The sequence below is a fragment of the Homo sapiens genome, chromosome 2 (genome assembly GCF_000001405.40).
Source record: "Homo sapiens chromosome 2, GRCh38.p14 Primary Assembly".
Lineage (NCBI taxonomy): Eukaryota > Metazoa > Chordata > Mammalia > Primates > Hominidae > Homo > Homo sapiens.
The window spans coordinates 196,437,777-196,456,118 of NC_000002.12; the positions used below are offsets into that span (position 1 = coordinate 196,437,777).

At 37.5% G+C, this 18,342-nt stretch overlaps 1 protein-coding gene across 10 annotated transcripts in view, besides 2 other annotated features; it reads right to left on the bottom strand.

Annotated features, from left to right (window-relative positions):
• Nucleotides 1-18,342, bottom strand: part of HECW2 (HECT, C2 and WW domain containing E3 ubiquitin protein ligase 2) — a 399,483-nt gene that overhangs the window by 243,705 nt on the left and 137,436 nt on the right. The window lies entirely within an intron of this gene.
• Nucleotides 11,287-11,446: an enhancer, noted in NCBI's record as "active region_16907". NCBI's record gives its function as "activates an Ori minimal core promoter by ATAC-STARR-seq in GM12878 lymphoblastoid cells {active_cell/tissue: GM12878}" and the evidence as "EXISTENCE:reporter gene assay evidence [ECO:0000049][PMID:35858748]".
• Nucleotides 16,225-16,324: an enhancer, noted in NCBI's record as "active region_16908". NCBI's record gives its function as "activates an Ori minimal core promoter by ATAC-STARR-seq in GM12878 lymphoblastoid cells {active_cell/tissue: GM12878}" and the evidence as "EXISTENCE:reporter gene assay evidence [ECO:0000049][PMID:35858748]".

Genomic DNA, 18,342 nt, shown 5'->3' on the forward strand with positions numbered 1-18,342 from the left:
CGGGAGAGAGAAAAATGAAAGAGAGAGAGAGAACTTCGAAGTCAAGGAAGGAGAGACTCCAAGGACAGTGTCAAATGCTGCAGGGAAAGACTGAGGAGTGGGTAAAATTGGTGGCCAGAAGAGTTAGCATGGAGTGGTAAAAGTGGGGTAAAGAATCCAGGCTCTTCCTCAAAAGGCTGGATGGCGAAGAGGAGGCATGTGGGGAGGGCAACATGGATTGAGACAGAGTTGGGTTTGTTTGCTTTCACGTTTTGTTTTGTTTTTAGGATGGAAGAGATTCTGCATGTTCCTAATACCAGCATAGGAACTAAGAAAACAGGAAATATTTGCTGAATGAATAAAAACTGAGAGAAAAGGGCCAGTAAAGAGGAGAGAATGAAGATGTAGGAAAGAGAGGAGACATAGTACAGAGCATGGCTACTAGGACGAACAAAAGCTGGAAGACACAGGACAGGTGGAGAATTAGTCCAAACCAGCACTGTCCAATTGAAATATAACACAACCCATGGGTGTAATTTAAAATTTTCTAGTAATCACATTTTAAAAACATAAAACAGATGAAAATTTTAATAACATTTTATTTAACTCACTATAGCCAAACTTATTGTTTCAACATTAATATAAACAGTTACTAATTTTTTTCTTTCTTTTTTTAAATACTAAGGCTTTTAAATCCAGTGTGAATTTTACACTTAAAGCACATTTCAGTTCAAACTGACCACATTTCACGTCCTCCACAGCTACATACAGGACCGGGAAGTACAGATTTAAACCATGGAGGTGCCTCCACTTCCTTTTCAACTCCATTGATCAGAAAGACCCTGAAGGTAGCTCAGAAGAAGATGTCATTGAACTAGCTGACAATAATGTGCTAATAACCAAGAATTCCTTAATCTTTCCAAGAGTTCTTTCATTACACTTTAGCACAAAGATGCTTTTTGAGCCAAATCTCTAATAGGAATCATTGTTCAATCCTGTTATATGAAGACATCCAGTCCGGGGGTGGAGGGTTTTCTGGGGATAGACTTGAGGATGGGGAGGTTGACAAGTATCAGAAACTTTTTATAACTCTTTTTGCTTCTTTTCTTCTACCCTGAAGCTGTATAGTCTTCAAAAGCAGAACAGTGTCCCAGAGGTGCTTGTGTGTCAGGGGAGGAGATGAAGTGGGGAAGGGATGGAGGTTTTCTATATATTCCTTTAACAAACTCTCATATATGATACAAACTTTTCCTAAGTGATATTCAAATATATACCGGTTATTTGTAAGTCAGTACATAAATCAGTAGCTGTATATATTTAAACTTCACCCTGCCTCAATTTATTTACCTATTAAATGGAAGTAATTTTAATGTACCATGCAAGGTTGTTTTAAGGATTGAAATACTGTGGATGAAAGTGTTCAATAAAAAGTAGCCATGGTTATTTTAGTAGGCAAACATTATAGCTACTGAATTAATTAATGCATTATTTAGTCTAGGGTAACTATTTATGCCTAAGAGCCTGGGGAGAGGAACACCAGGATTTGGAAGACAGTGAACAGAAAGCAAATGCTGAAGACCAACTTTACATATTAAAAACCACTAGAAGTTCTGCCTAGTCTAGATGACCCTGTACTTAGAAAAGAAGAAGAAAACGTCCATCCTTCCCCTGTCTCCACCTATTCCACATGGCTCCTGGTTTCCAGGGCTCAGAAATTAGCCACATTAGGTCATACAGGCCTTGAGTTACAGCTTAAGAAACTCAACCGTAGCTTTTATAGAACTGTTTCTGTATTAAAAAGTAATGACAACCTCCAAACAACTCCCTTAGAAAAGAATTGCAGAGCCCACCGCCCACAAGCCAGCGACGGGACAGTGTAAGATGTAAGACAGAGGAGACAAGAATTTAAGAAACTTGGCCACAGAACTTGAAGTAGTCCTGTTGGAACCTGACCAACAGTAGGGAGTGGGGAGCCATTCCAGGGTCTTGAGAAGAGAGGCAAAAATAGGAAAGGGAAGTCTCAGGAAACGTAATCTGAGAGTTTATGCAGGGCTGATTATAACAGGAAGAAAACAGAGGTGGGGAAACCAGTGAGAAACTGATCAGTCAAGGAACCCAGCGCTGTTGGCAGAAGACGGATTTTAGTGACATGAAAAGAAAATATCAATCAGGAATGTTTCAAAGGAAGAACACATAGACATGATGACAGATTGAATATAGGGGATAAAAGTGAGGGTGAAATTAGGACTAAATTGTGGATTTTCAATCTAAGTGACAACAGAATCCCAGAAACATTGACAGGGCTGAGAAAATCAAAATTATTTCAGGTGAGATGGAAGTAAATGCAATATATCCAAGTAAATATAACTCTTATGAGGGTGGGTCCAAATTGTCGGTTATTATGAGGCCGGGGATAAAACAAATATTCAAATGCAAGTCTCTGCTCAATAACAGCCTTAGTATTAATTAAAATTGACTATGCCAATATATCCCTAAAAGTCTTATTTCAGGGTTTAAAAACCTCATTCAGATGTTTTACTTTACATAACTTAGGCCAACTGGAAAGGAAATAAATCAATGATTTTATTTAGATTACAACAAGGGACTATTATCTAATTGCTTTGGAAACCTTAACTTTTCCCTTATAGGAAATGTAATATAGTTTTTAGAGTTCATGTTTTGATAGTAAATAAGTACTGTGCAAAAATTAATTTGCAAAGTCACATAAAAATGAAAAAAATCAAAGCACTCTAAATTTTATACCTAAAATTTGAGTTTTAGCTACCCTATTCAATGTAATATTCTCATATGGGAAAACCAGTGTTACTCAATAACAGAGAACAGCTGCTGCGCATTTTCTAATACTGAAACCTAAGAACTCTCAATTTGCTTCTTGATTTCACATTTCTTATTGCCTTCTGCAATAAGAAAGACACATTTTCTTCAGAAAATTATCCACGTTCTTTTGAAAAGCTTCAGAAAATAAAGGCGACGGCAAGGGAAGCAGGTTAATATTCACTATATGGCTTAAGTAGAAAGCTGGTCCTTTAAAGCTCCTTAGATAACTCATCCCTCCCAGGGTGAGTCTGTGCTGCAGCTATATGTCCCATTCCCAGTGGGCACAATTTAACATGATGTAGCACTCCTTAAAAAATTAAAAAAAACCCTCCTTCTAAATATGATTAGGTCTGCACCATGCTGCTCTCCCAGATAAAAGACATCTGTTTCAAACAACTGAAAACAAAATCATTTTTCTTCAAGAGGTCAAGAGAGATTTAATTACTAAGCAAATCACAAAATGCCATAGTATACAACTTCAATTCCAAAACCAGCAGATTTTGTTCAGAAGATATAGACAGTAGCAGATGACAAATACATTAAGCAAGTGTTTTTTATTGAAAATAGTTTTGCTAAAGAATCTGGAGGTGAATGTCAATTTACTAAACCTCACCTGAAGGGCAGGTACTGAAAAACATTGTCAGAGGATTTTTATAGAATTTAAGAAATGCATCCTAGGATCTAACTTCCTAGAGTTGGCATTGATAAATAAAACCAATAATAATAAAAGACAAACTTGTTTAACCCTTCAAATTCCAAAAGACACAACATACAACACACACACACAAACACACACACACACACTTGTTCAACTATACTATGCTTCAAACTCCAAGTGATTTTTTATTTTTATTTTTTACTATCTAAATGAGGAAAACAAAGGGTGAAAAACTACATTTATAGTCAAGATATAATTAGCCTGCAGTAAGTAGAGATGTGAGAACTATAGGAAAAGAAAGCAGTAACCCATCCCCAGCAAGGCCAATTGGCATCTGAGATGAACAAAGACGTCACCAAATCTTCCACCAAAGCTCCCCCTCCAGTGGATTTCCCCTGTGTGTAGCAAGAGAGAGCATTTTCAGTCATTCAGTATAAATGAACATTCAGATAAACTCCGTGTTTATCATAGATAATCATAACTTGATGCTTAGCTTACTCAGCAAGAGTATGCTAATAAAATGATTAGGAAAACCAGAAAATGTCCTTCTACACAACCTGCTAGGAAATGAGAACTGAATAGAGAACCTGGGGTAACTGGAGCTGCCCCTCACTTCCTCTTTCCAGGTGGAAAAGTCTCAGAAAATGCAATTTATCCTCCAGCCTGCTGCCCTTTAGGAAAAGCGTGTTTTCCCCAAAATTTTACTAAAGAATATGTTATAATCCACAACATAAAAATTACCCAAATGTAAATTTGGAAAAGGGATGTACACAAATAGAAATAATTTTAAGTTCCAAAAAATTGTTAATTTTAAAGACAGTTCAAGAATGCTTTCAAGATGTTGGTTTAGCTTTAAATCATTAAATATGCAACTAGATTAAAAAGAGAAAATCATTAATATTTAACTCATTTAGTTATTTAAACGCAGTGAGATTTTTAATTCAATTATTTAATTAAAACCTTCTTTGAAGGTATGAGTAGATATTTTACCAAAAAATTGAATCAATAAGTATATATCAAAACACATTTTTAAAAAAGATATAATTGTTGTCCACTAAAACATCAACATTGAAAAGCAGTAGTACTCAAGTGAAAATGCAGTGAGAAACAACACTCATATGTTGCTGAGAGGATAGTTCTACAAAGCTTTCTGGAGCTTTAGGTATGCTCACACCCTTAGGCCCAGTGATTCATTTCCAGGGCTCTACCCTAAGGAAAGAAGCAGAGATGCCAGCAAAGAGTTATAAAAAGATGATCACCACAACATTATTCAAAATAGAGAACAAATTAACAACAAAACAAATGTCCAACAATGGAAAAGTGTTTACATTATAGCATATCTACCTTATAGACTATTATGAAGCCATTAAAAACATATTTTTAAGATTTGACATGGGAATTTGTTCATGCTATAAGGTTAAGTATTATCAAATACTGTTACATATACAATATAATTAAATTGTGTTAATAACACACATAGAAAAAAGAGTATACTTTTTCAAGTTATAGACAGTGGGATTACAATTGTTTTTACCTCTTGATACTCAATTTTTGAATTTTTCTACAAATAAGATATATAATAATGTTATTTAAAATAGACCTCTGATATGAAAGGATGGTTCCTACTATTATTTATTTATTACAATAAATGGTTATCTTCGAGGGCTCCTTAGTTGCAAGGAACAGAAGCCCCCTCTGATAAACCGAAACAGAAAGGAAATTTACTAGAAAGATACTAGGTAGCCCACAGAATCAAAATAAAGGAAAATAATGAACCAAAGATGCTCTTGGGTAACAGTAGCCACCAGGATCAATCCACCTAAACATCCGTCCTTTCTCCATGATGTTGCTCAGGACTGACTGGTAGGAGACAGGATCCTATGGACCTACAGAGAAGAGGAGATGGCATATGGATGGGCAATTCTACCAAAACTGAAGGCAGTTGGGGAGAAGTGATTCCTCAAAAAGAATTAAATTAGTGAAAACGAAGGTTTGCTGTTACTAGATGAATAAAAAATGAATGCTGGACAAAGATAAAAGAAAAAAGCCACTAACAAAATACCAGTGCCAATATCATAGACCCTTAAATGTGTAACGAGAAGCATATAGACTAGCAAATATGGGAAGAACAAGGGCAACATCTCTTACTCATTTATCTAAATACAGGATAGATTGTGATGAGCCCCCACTGTAACAATATTTATTGGCAGAGGTATCAGTTTTTTACATTAACCTATACTTTTAAAATGTTAGTCAATTAAGAAGAGCAAAACTTCATTTTAAGAATCATTTTTAAATGTCATGCCAGATTAGGAAAATGAAAGCCAAAACTTCACATATTTTCACTACCTTTTAAAAATTCCAACCTATTTTTCAGTAAACATACATGAAGTCATAGTCTATTCAAGTGTCAAAAAAGAAGAAACGAAAACAAGAAAAACTCTTTGCTTTTATATCAACCACTTTTGGTGGTTTGCTCGTTTATTAACAAATACTAACCAGGCACTGTGGCTCACACCTGTAATCCCAGCACTTTGGGAGGCCGAGGTGGGCAGACTGCCTGAGTTCAGGAGTTGGAGACCAGCCTGGCCTGGGCAACATGGCAAAACCCCATCTCTACAAAAAATACAAAAATTAGCTGGGCATGGTGGCGTGCGCCTATAGTCCCAGCTACTTGGGAGGCTGAAGTGGGAGGATCGCTTGAGCCTGAGAGGTGGTAGTGGCAGTGAGCCGAGATCAGGCCACTACACTCCAGCCTGGGCAACAGAGTGAGACCCTGTGGCAAAAATAAAAACAAAAACAATTATTAATGGTTTATATGAGAGAAGTGGAATCATTTCCTCTTACATTCATTCCTTTTGAAAGATACGAAACTTTTACTCCTTTGTAACCTTAAGCGGAAGATATCTTTTCTCTTTTGTGTGGAATACATCTCAAAACATTACCTGTAGTTAAGTTGGTAAACTATTGGTAAGTGAAATTCAAATATTTAAGAATTCCACATTACTTTGTGGTGGCTGAAGCGCATTAGGTGGGAAAGTCTTCTTTGCAAAGCAAATCACAAAACTTAAGCTCCTAGTTACTGATTGGCAAAAGCTTCCAGAAAAGACCAACTGTATTTCAATATAATTGTTTATTCCATAAAACACCAGAGGTCATAACTACAAATTCTAGCAATTCTATCATGCAGTCTATACTCCATAGAGTACATTTTTAACCCTTAATGCTTCTCTCTTTCATTTCCACTGCCACAACAGCACTAAGCCAAGTTCACATCATTTCATACCTAGACCACCACTTCTTAAAAGACCTCTCTGGTCCTTACATTGTCCCCAGCCAATCTATCTACTCTCTCCCTACAGCACTTTTTCAATGCCAACCCTTCCAATCAAGTAAATGACGTAATTAAAAAGCCATGATGGAAGTGAACAAAGGAGCAGGGAAGGAACCAAGTTGGACAAGGGTGAACAGGGAAGGCCTCTCACAAGTAGTGACATTAAAGCTCATTAGGCTGAGATCTGAAGTTAGCAAATGGTTGCATAGTCCAGGTGAGTAGCAAGGAAGGCACAGATTTCAGTGGTGGCTCTGGGGGTCAGGGAGGAGAGCAGAGGGTGGATTTTTTTTCCCTGGATTTCTTTATAATTCCCTGAATAAACCAAAAGTTTCATGCAAACTTTCTCCCTGCAAATTTATCTATTCTGTTACCCTTGCAAATGCTTAGCAAGTCCAGCAGTGTCCATGCAATTCTTACCACCTGCTCCATCTTCAAGACCTAAAGAACACTCTCTTTTTGAAGAGCACCCAGCCAGAAGGCAACATTCCTATATGTCAATTCCAGTTGTCTTTTTTATATTATTCTTATCACTTATACTTCACAGTGCCTCATATTCTAATTATGAAGATTCATGTCTTCTCCTGCCAGACTATAAGCTTTTTGAGGACAAATTACTGTTTCTCTTACACAAATAGTGTTTATTTTTCAAATGCTACCAGTGAGAAAATAACAATGCAAAAGAACAAAGTCAACAGTATGAATAAATCTTGACTTTTCTTTTTTTCCCCCAAACTTGGAGTTTATTTTTGAGTTACAAAGGTAGATCCATTACAGAAAAATGACACAGTGTTAACAGCATCTCCATTCACTTGTTTAATTAGCATTATTGGCTTTTTTTTAAACTTTTACTTTAGGTTCAGGGGTACATGTGCAGGCTTCTTATATAGGTAAATTGTGTGTCACTAGAATTAGCCACATTAGCCAACTAAAAAGGATTTTTTGAGTAAAGTGCCTACTGTGTGCTAAAAAGTATAAAATAAGGCTCTTGCTACAGCATACAAAAAATAAAAGTCAAGCTACATGAAAGAAATAGAAAGCAACTGCCTTCTGTACTGTAATGTATAAGTGCAAAAGGCAGTAAGAGAGCTCATTATGGGGCATGATCAGCAGGGGCTGAAGTAAAGAAAAGTCTAATGAGAAAATCTGAGGTGGACCTTGAAAGATATGAAGGCCATGAAACATGGCATGCATTTTAGGCCATACTAGAGTACGACTAAAAAATATGGCGTGCATTCTAGGCCATACAATACAACTAAAAAGTAAAGATAGATAGGAATTAGCTTTCACTACCTTCACTCTATCCAGCCACCATCATCTCTCCTCTGAATGAACAGCCTCCTTCCCCTCTTCCATTCTTGATTTTTGTATATTCTCAATATGACAGCCAGAGTGACCCTGTTCAGATGTTAGATCATTTTGTTCTCTACCAAAAATCCTCCAATAACCCCTATCTCATGCAGAGAAAAAGCCAAAACCCTTACAGTGGTCTAGAAAGCCCCACATGATCTGGCTGTTGGTCCTCTCTGACCTCATCTTTTGCTACTACCTTCCATGTTCACACCGCTCCAGTCCCACTGCTGCTCCTAGAATGTTCCAGCCACTCTCTACCACAGGGCCTTTGCATATGCTATTCCCTCTGCTCTTCTCTTCAGTATGCACATGGCTCACTTTGTTACTTCTTTCATGGTTTTACCAAATGGCAGCCTCTCAGAGGGACCTTCCCTGACCACCCATGATAAATTTCAACTGCTCCAACACTACCTACCCCCTTTTCCTGCTTTATTTTTCTCCTGCAGCACTTTTCATATTGTAATATACAGTATGACTTATTCACCTGTTTATTGCATCTCCTCCCCCTAGAATGTATGCTTCATGAGGAGTCAGAAATGACAGACAGACATCACCTCTAAGTTGGCAGCTGGACCTACATGGTTTTCTTGGTAGAGCACCTGGAATAATGTTTCACTTAATTAATCAATTATTGTTTTTAATTTTACAAACTATTTGGCACCACAGTAAGATCTTTAATTTAAGTGATTTCATGGGCAGAATGCAATGGTTGTAAGCAGATGTTGCAAACACACAGGTTAAATTTTAAAGTCTGAGGTTACCAACTGATGCTTACCATTACTACAGAAATCAACAAAAGGTGCATCAAAGCAGAAAAAAGCAAGAAGGGATGGAATCCAACAAGAAGGAATAACCACATTAGGAAGAAAGGGCACATGTAAGTCACAAACAAGAGTGTCAAACCTGCCTGGTTTTTCATACAAATAAGAGTTATCCAATGCCTACTAAGTATGAGGTACTGTTCTTGCACTAGAACAAACAAATGGAACAAATTCCATTCTGAAGGAACTTACAGTCATAAGACTAGAAAAAGAATGAATTCAAAATAATAATAAACTACTCAATTTATGAGATCCCCAATGAGGGCAAAGACTCATCTGGAAGAACCAAAAAACTAAATGAATATGCAACATGTGAATAAGGAAACAGTTCTCTTCAGTGTCATGATCCAGCTTGTTGATACCAAGTTTAATTTTACTTCAAATACTGGGATAAAAAAAAATGCTTGGAATCTTTTCCAAAAGGACTACCTACAAAGCACTGTATTTTCCAATTGTTTTTTTTTAACAAAGAAGAGATTCTTTTGACCTAAGTGTTCATGGCCCAGCTCCACTCTATTAACGGGCTGACAATGAAAGCAAAAAGTATCACACAACGATGAACTGAAGACGTAAAATTAGTCCCCATTCAACCATTTCTCCCATACAATGAGAGAGTCAACCCCTGTCAACCCCTTTCAACCCCATTTCTGCTAGTCTCTCACTGAATGTTAGATGTTCCAACAATAAACTGATGGCAAAGAGAAATTACATGAACTGGTAAAAGATTCAGGAATTCATAAAAGTCAAAGTGATTTTAAAGTCACATGCAAAACCACTGAGTAATAAGGATCTGGCAAAGTTAGAACAATTGGTAACTTAAAGAGAAAAAAATTAAGGATAATTTGACTCTCTTAGGATTAGACAGAAGCCATGGGAAAGTTAACAGAGGCTTGAAATAGTTTTTGCAATATGACTTTCTTTATGACTGTAGTGAGAAAATCAAATATCGTATTGTGCTATCACACAGTTTTCTTGAAAAAAATGAATTATCCCAACCCTCTAAAAGTTTCAACACTTTGGGCCAGGGGCATTGGCTCACACCTGTAATCCCAGCACTTTGGGAGGCCGAGGCAGGCAGATCACGAGGTCAGGAGTTCGAGCCAAGCCTGGCCAATATGGTGAAACCCCATCTCTACTAAAAATACAAAAAAAGCTAGCCATGCGTGGTGGCGCACACCTGTAGTCCCAGCTACTCAGGAGGCTGAGACAGGAGAATCACTTGAACCAAGGAGGCACAGGTTGCAGTGAGCAGAGATTGTGCCACTGCACTCCATCCTCGGCAATAGAGGGAGACTTCATCTCAAAAACAAACAAAAAGTTTCAACACTTCATTTGTTATTTGTTCCTTCTAATGATCAGGCCATATTTGTGATTATAACCTAAATGTTGGTGTAAGATAAAATAAACTGATTCCCATCATTTGAACTTTTGTCAGGATCAAGCCCTTTGTCTCCCTATTTACTCTGCAATTTGGCTTCCCAATCAATGTAAATAGATTTACTTTAAGAGGCCTGCTTTCCTGGTAACTCCTGTCTATCCTCCGCTCCCATCCCTCACTCCCATGTTATCATGCAGCTCTTAATCCTAGATTTGACTTCCAGACAGGCACCAAGCTAGTGGATGACACAGCTGAGACCTACTCTGAGGTCTTTTAAGTCTGATTTTATTCCAATATGCTACGCCTCCTGTGGCTTCTGGGTTACAACTGGGTTATGAAAGCTATATCATATGGAACCCAGGTTTATCCACAAAATTTGGGGAGAAAGACGTAATCAACTGTTTACAGGTTTTAAAATCAGTGCCATAAACAGGAGCCAAGCAGCCTCCCCCGCCAAAGCAGAACTGCCTGATTGGCTCTGCTGTGTCTCCTCACTTTCTCACTCTCATTTGTGGTTCACCTACTGTTATCTTTGCAGATATAGAAAGCAATTATTTATTTATTTGTTGTGAGCCACAGATTTAAATCAACTTTAGAAGCCCATCACCTTGTTGAGAAGTAGCAATTTCCCACTCTCAAGACAGTCTCCATGGACCCTGACAACTCGTTGATAAGCAGGCATAATTAAAGAGGCCTGAAGGAGTAGCTCTGCTGCTAGGAACCCTTCCAGAGTAGCAGCTCAATACAAATCACATCCTTTTTGCCCTTCCTCTCTCACTATCCATTTTTTGGGGGAAAAAATAATAAGTATTTGGATGTCTCCTTGAGTCAAAGTAAATCAAGCATGTGAACACTTGTACTCAGGAATCCTACAGTAAGTTGAGATGTGAAGTTCTGCCTCCCACTTCAATGTTGGGGTGAGTGTCCGTGGCACCTGGTTATGTGTTAAAAAGGAAGATGGTGATGGTCTCTTAGCCTAAAGATATGGGGAAAAAGGAAGAAACTGTGGTGCCAAGTCTGGGAATTTCGCTGGGCTACAGTACCAGCTTCCTCCCACCCCAGTACATTATGCACAGAACTAATCCTTTGGACCTACTATAGCTCTCCAGCTGACCTTGAAACTATGAGTTGTATGGTCTGTGGTCTTCCCCACCTCTGTCTCATCTCACTAGTTTAGCAATGTATCTAGTGCAGGGGCAGAAACACTGTGGTAACTATCCACTAAAAATGGAACACATGAGAAGGTATAAATGAAGCAAGGTTTGAAGTCTGATGGAATGATTTCTGCAGAATAGATAATTAGATAATCCTTACAAAATGATAGTACTATATGACCATAAGTAAAATTGCCGATTTCTTTCTATGGATGCTGAAAGATTTCATTTGTTTTAGTGAGTCAAATTATTTTAACTCATTATATTTATAGAAATTGGATTCCTGCTCCCAAATTCAATAAACTAAAAGAAGCTGCATTTTCATTAATAGATTAAAATCTATTCAAAGAAATAAATCCATTCAGTTTATAAATAAATTATTTTTGCTAAGAATGCTGCACTACTAAAATGTAAAAATACCATGGCCTTAAATAATAATTTCAAATGAATTAAAATATCATTAAAATGCAAAAGTTTTAACTGGTTGTAATTAGGAAAAATCTTTTCAAACACTACACACTTATCCATTACCTCATTAATCCATTTTTTTTTAAATTTATAGAAAGATAAGACAAGAACCCACCCTTTGCAATGGTGTGATTCCTTCAGTCATAATGCATGGGAAACAGGAATAAAGAAGAGACTTGGAATCATAAATATTAGCACTCCTTGTCTCCTCTTCTTATATGCATTTTCTCTGCCTACAGTTGTCCCTCCCCTGGCTTTCTGCAAGTATGGGGGCCTTGGTGGTGTGCCAGGCTGAGAACCAGAAAGAAAGCTGTGGGCCATTCCTCCAGACTTAACCCAGTATGCCTAAGGCAAAGTCCATCCCTATGCATCCAAAACTTTGCCCTTTTTGCGTTGCAGAGTTTAGGTTGGGTTTCTGTCATAGATGTAAAGAACTTCAGTAATACAATGGATATGTCCCACTGTTTAGTACACAAAACCTAGATAATAGGTGAAGCAGAAGGGAAAGAATCTGAGTTGACCGATAAAAACACGGTGCTTAGCCAGAGAGTGGCAGGGAAAGAAAGAAAAGGATTGTGGGGTTACAGCATTTTTTCTGGAGATGAGAGGAAGAAGAAAGCTGGAAGAGGCAGCTACCAGGAATATAACAGCAGACAGCATGTTCAACCACCATTGTCTAGTCTCCAAATCTACTGATCATAAGCCACCTGTTAGATGCTGCCCAAATATCAGATTTTTTTTTTTTTTTTTTTGAGATGGAGTTTCTCTCTTGTTTCCCAGGCTGGAGTACAATGGCATAATCTTGGCTCACTGCAACCTCTGCCTCCCGGGTTCAAGAGATTCTCCTGCCAAGTAGCTAGGATTACAGGCATGTGCCACCACGCCTGGGTAATTTTTTGCATTTAGTAGAGACAGGGTTTCACCATGTTAGTCAGGCTGGTCTCCAACTCCTGACCTCAGGTGATCCACCCGCCTCAGCCTCCCAAACTGCTGGGATTACAGATGTGAGCCACCACGCCCAGCCCAAATATCAGGTTTTTAACATGTTCCCCATTTGATGCTGATAAATGCTGAAATTTGAGAACTGCTGACATAAGAAATCACCAGGTATTATCTATATGTAGTCCCAAGTTAGACCAAATAACTGACACTATCTCTCCAAGTATATCCAAATTTGTTAAACAAATTTAAAATGAACCAAAAGTCAACCGAGAGATTTGCCTAAGAATTTTTAAATTCTATTTCCCATAAAATTTAGACAGATATAATTATTGAAACATTGTGAAAATTGAAATAAAATATTTTTATTAATTAAAAGGAATTGAAACACTGCAGTATTACATTCAACAAGCTGAAAGTTGTCAAAAAAGGAAAGCAAGCTTAAGAAATATGGGGTAGGCTGGGCACAGTGGTTCATGTCTGTAATCCCAGCACTTTGGGAGGCCGAGGCGGGTGGATCACGAGGTCAAGAGATCAAGACCAGCCTGACCAACATGGTGAAACCCCGTCTCTACTAAAAATACAAAAATTAGCTGGGCGTGGTGGCACGCACCTGTAATCCCAGCTACTCAGGAGGCTGAGGCAGGAGAATTGCTTGAACTGGGAAGCGGAGGTTGCAGTGAGCTGAGATCGCGCCACTGCACTCCAGCCTGGTGATGGAGCGAGACTCCGTCTCAAAAAAAAAAAAAAAAAAGAAAAGAAATGTGGGGTAAAGTTTATACCCAGAACTCATGCTTTTCTCCTCTGTTCAGACACTAGAAACAGGCCATTAATTTATCTCTGATCTTTCTAACATCCAAAGAGTTACAAGAATCACAGACCCATTCCCCATCCATAAGATAAACAGAAATGATTTCCTGATGGTTGGGCGCAGTGGCTCATGCCTGTAATCCAACCACTTTGGGAGGCCAAGGCAAGAGGATCACTGAGGTCAAGAGTTTGAGAGCAGCCTGGCCAACATGGTGAAACCCCGTCTCTACTAAAAATACAAAAATTAGCCAGGCGTGGTGGCACATACTTCTAATCCCAGCTACTTGGGAGGCTGAGGTGGGAGGATCCCTTGAACCCAGGAGGCGGAAGTTGCAGTGAACCGAGATCACACCGCTGCACTCCAGCTTGGGTGACAGAGCAAGACATCGTCTCAATAAGTAAATAAATAAGAAATGATTTATTTCTTATTTGGAGAACTTTCTCCAATTGGTCTTCATGGTGTAGGAAGTATTAGTCTCCATTCTTCTAACTACATCAAATACTATAGTGTTGTATTACCATTTTTATGTCATCTCATTGGCCTAACACCAATAGGCCCAATTCAGGAACAAGCATACATAGCTCAGTAATGGTACAACACTGTGTTGTCCATTACAGGAGCTCCTAGCTACATGTGGCTATTGATCATTTGAAATGTGGCTAGCCTAAAATGAGATATGCTGCAAGTATAAAATGCACACCAGATTTTAAAGAATTAGCACAAAAAAATTAAAATATCTCATCAATAAGACATATTGATCATAAGTTTTTACAAGATTATAAATGGTAGTGTTTTAGATATACTGAGTTAAATAATACATACTATTAAAATTAATTTCATCTGTTTTGAATTTGGCTATTTTTAAAAATTAACATGTGTGGCTCACTAGAATGGTGCTGGATAAACAACTATACTCCCAACTCAGTCCAAGGGTAAATTTAGACTTAAATTTTAACTCTTAAAGCCATGTCTGGGCTTCCTATTTTCCAAGTAATTCTTTATAATGAATTTCTTGTAAGAACTGGCAACAGAAAGTTCAAGGTAATATCCACTAATATAAATCTGACCTTGAACATCTGACATGTGATCCAGTGCAAAGCCACTTTGGAAGGGTTTCATCCTTTTATGAAGATGAAGAAAGCTAACCAACATGAGCACCTGCACAAAAGACCACTCCTCTCCTGCATGGAGGGTGGTGGAGGGATCATTTCTGGGCAAAATCTTCCTCAGAAAACAATTCTGGGATTTTTCTATGCATGATCAAATGAGTGACTGACCCCAAAGCACTAAAAAAAAAAAAAAAAACATGGGCCCAATAAATGTAGCCTGGTATATTTCCAGAGCAGGGCTTATCAATGGGAGACTGCCCAATAAGATAATCTTCTAATTTGAGCAAATCAATGCCAGGGCTGGGAATACAAAAAATGAGACTAAACCCCATCTGTAAGAACCAGTGAGACTCCATGATGAAATTGTGGCCTCTGACAAAATTTTTTTTAAAGCTTATTTTCTGTAAAATTTGCTTTTTATAGCAGTTCTGTTCTAAGGAATATGTTTAGGCAACTCAGCAAGACCTTTGTATTTGTTCTGCCTACAGAGACCATGTAAGCAAATTAATCCACTCACATAAGAAAGAAGGGGTAGGCTTCATTCCTCTTTAAGGACACAGAATTTCAAGATCTCTAACACCAAGAGTTTGGGTTCTCTGCAATAAATCAGTAGTGACTCTTTCTTCTTTTACATCATATCAGTTTAGGGTCTTGGACTGGGGTGATGCTAAAATGCATCAGACAATTACTTCTAAAGAAGACTTTGAAAGAACGCAGCCAACTACATTAGTTTTAAGCATGTGAACTAAAAGTTTGAGTAGAAAATGAACTGCCTCAAAGCACTTCAATATCGGCTAAGACTGAACCCAGGATGGGGTGTGCTGTGGAGTACAAGCTTTAGGAAGCTCTTCCTAACACTTAGGAAGGAGAGTATTGTAATTAGGAAGAGTATTGTAATTAGGATCCATACAGAGCATCTCAGAGAAAAATTCTGACTGTCTGACAAAAGATTCCTGATTAATAATGACATCTGTTGATTTTAAATGCAGCTTAAAATATCATCTGCTTTAACAGTCAGTGATAGCTTATATTTAGTTACTTTAACAGAGTTCTATTTTCTTATAAATTATATTACCTAAAAGTCATGTTTTCATCAGGAAGCTCAGGCAAACGAGGGTGGGACCTGCAGTTTAGAACATCCAAAGCTCACTAGCCCCACCTAATGACAGCACACCTAGATTTCTGGAGCAGTTCGGGGATAGAGAATCAATATAACCTTGAAAGTTGAAACTTCAAAAACAAAATTGTGACGTGGAGCTTCATGAAAAGCTCCATGTAAGACTGCCTCACATTCAGAAGGCAAAAAACCAAACTGGAAATTGTCGGCCTAATTTTACCACAAAATAATAAGAGTTGGGGGAACAGAAAAAAGAAATACTTCTATGGGTTTTGTTTGTTTGTTTGTTTGTTTTTGAGACAGAGACTCACTCTGTTGCCCAGGCTGGAGTGCAGTTGCACGGTCTCAGCTCACTGCAACTTCTGCCTCCCAGGTTCAAGCAATTTATGGCTAATTTTTGTATTTTTAGTAGAAACAGGGTTCCACCATATTGGCCAAGCTGGTCTCAAACTCCTGACCTCAAGCGATCCGCCCGCCTCGCCAGATTTATACATGCATAATACATGTATAGTTACTTTAATGTATAGCCACTTTGATGTATAAATAAGGTGAAATGATACTATAGAGCAAAACTATTTTGTAGCTTGCTTTGTTTTCACACAAAATGTAAAGTGGGCATTCATATTAATAAACATGAAACTATATCAGCCTTTTTAATAGCTATTTAACATTCCACTGTATGATGTATATACCATAATTTAGTTACACAATTCCCTCAAGATGGTCATTTAGATTACTGTTGTAAACTATGCTGTAAACACACCCTCACATTCATTATTGCACACTTGCCTGATTATTTCCTTAGGATTATTTCTTAGAAGCAAAATAGCTGTATCCTAAGCTGTTGATGAGTGTTACCGAATGCCTTTTGAAAAGGAGGCATGATAAGCATTCCCATATCTGCAGTGCAGAGAAGGTAGCTATTTTCTTCCAAATACCTTCACCAACACTGAATGTTATCCATCTTTGGAGGCAGCTTAGTGGATAAAAGTATAGGTTCTAGAACTAGAATTTTATAGCTGAGTTCAAATCTCAGCTCTGCCATGCTCTATGACCTCTGGAAGGCTACTCAACATTTCTGCAGATTTCTGTTAAATGGGGATTGTATCATTGTACCTACCTGAAAGGGTTATTATTAGAATTAAATGAGTTAATATGATATTTGATGTACAATAAACACTTAATAAGTGTGTACTTATTATATGAGATATTGTCCACCTGAAAGGTAAAAGCAAATCTCATGTTTCGGTTTAATCTGTATTCATTTGATTATTTCTGGGATTGACCACAGACCCTTTTACTTAATTTTTTTTTTTTTTTGAGACGGAGTCTCACTCTGTCACCAGGCTGGAGTACAGTGGCACAATCTCGGCTCACTGCGACCTCCACCTCCTGGGTTCAAGAGATTCTCCTGCCTCAGCCTCCCAAGTAGTTGGGATTACAGGTGTGTGCCACCACGTCCAGCTAATTTTTGCATTTTTAGTTGAGATGGGGTTTCACCATGTTGGCCAGGATGGTCTCGATCTCCTGACCTCATGATCTGCCCACCTCAGCCTCCCAGAGTGCTGGGATTACAGGCGTAGGCCACAATGCCCGGCCCCTTTTACTTAATTTTTATTAACTTTTTCTAAAGTAGTCAATCATATCATTTATAAATAATAGTGATTTCTATATCTTCCTGATTTATTTTTCTGAGATAACTACATTGGTTAGAACTTCTAAAACAAAGGTGAGTGATAATAGTGGTCATAAATATCCTTATCTCATTTATGACTTTATGATAAAAGAATTTTAAAAATATTTCAAACATCAAAATAATAAAATGTTGTAATTCAGACAACTTTTTCCATATAGTTTTCTTATAAACAGTCCTTTAAATACAAACTCTGGATTGCTTCTAAATTGTGACATTCTCTTTTGGGAAAAAAGTACTAAACATTTTACATTAAAACAATCTTTTTTAACTAAATTGAACACATACTTTTAATAAAGACCACAGTAATTTTTAACACTGGAAATACAAAGGATAAAATAGAAAATTATTTTATTCTTGCAAATTAATTTGCAAGACAAAAGAAATTCAGACAATAATGCAGTTTGTACAATAACCCAAAATCAATTATTTTGTTAAATAATATATATGATATAAATAACAGAAAAAATTAGAACACCATTTGCAATAAAAAATATTGAGCCCTTTAACTTTAAGGATAACATTTTCATCTAGTATTCTTGACTTCTTGTGTTTTCGACCTAAAACAGCATATACATTTGGAAAGGAGACTCAATTTTTCACAATTCATACCCCTATACTCCCACACCCTGAGAAGGCATATAAATTATTTCTAGATATGAAGGTCTTTAATATAAATCATGCCCCTAAATT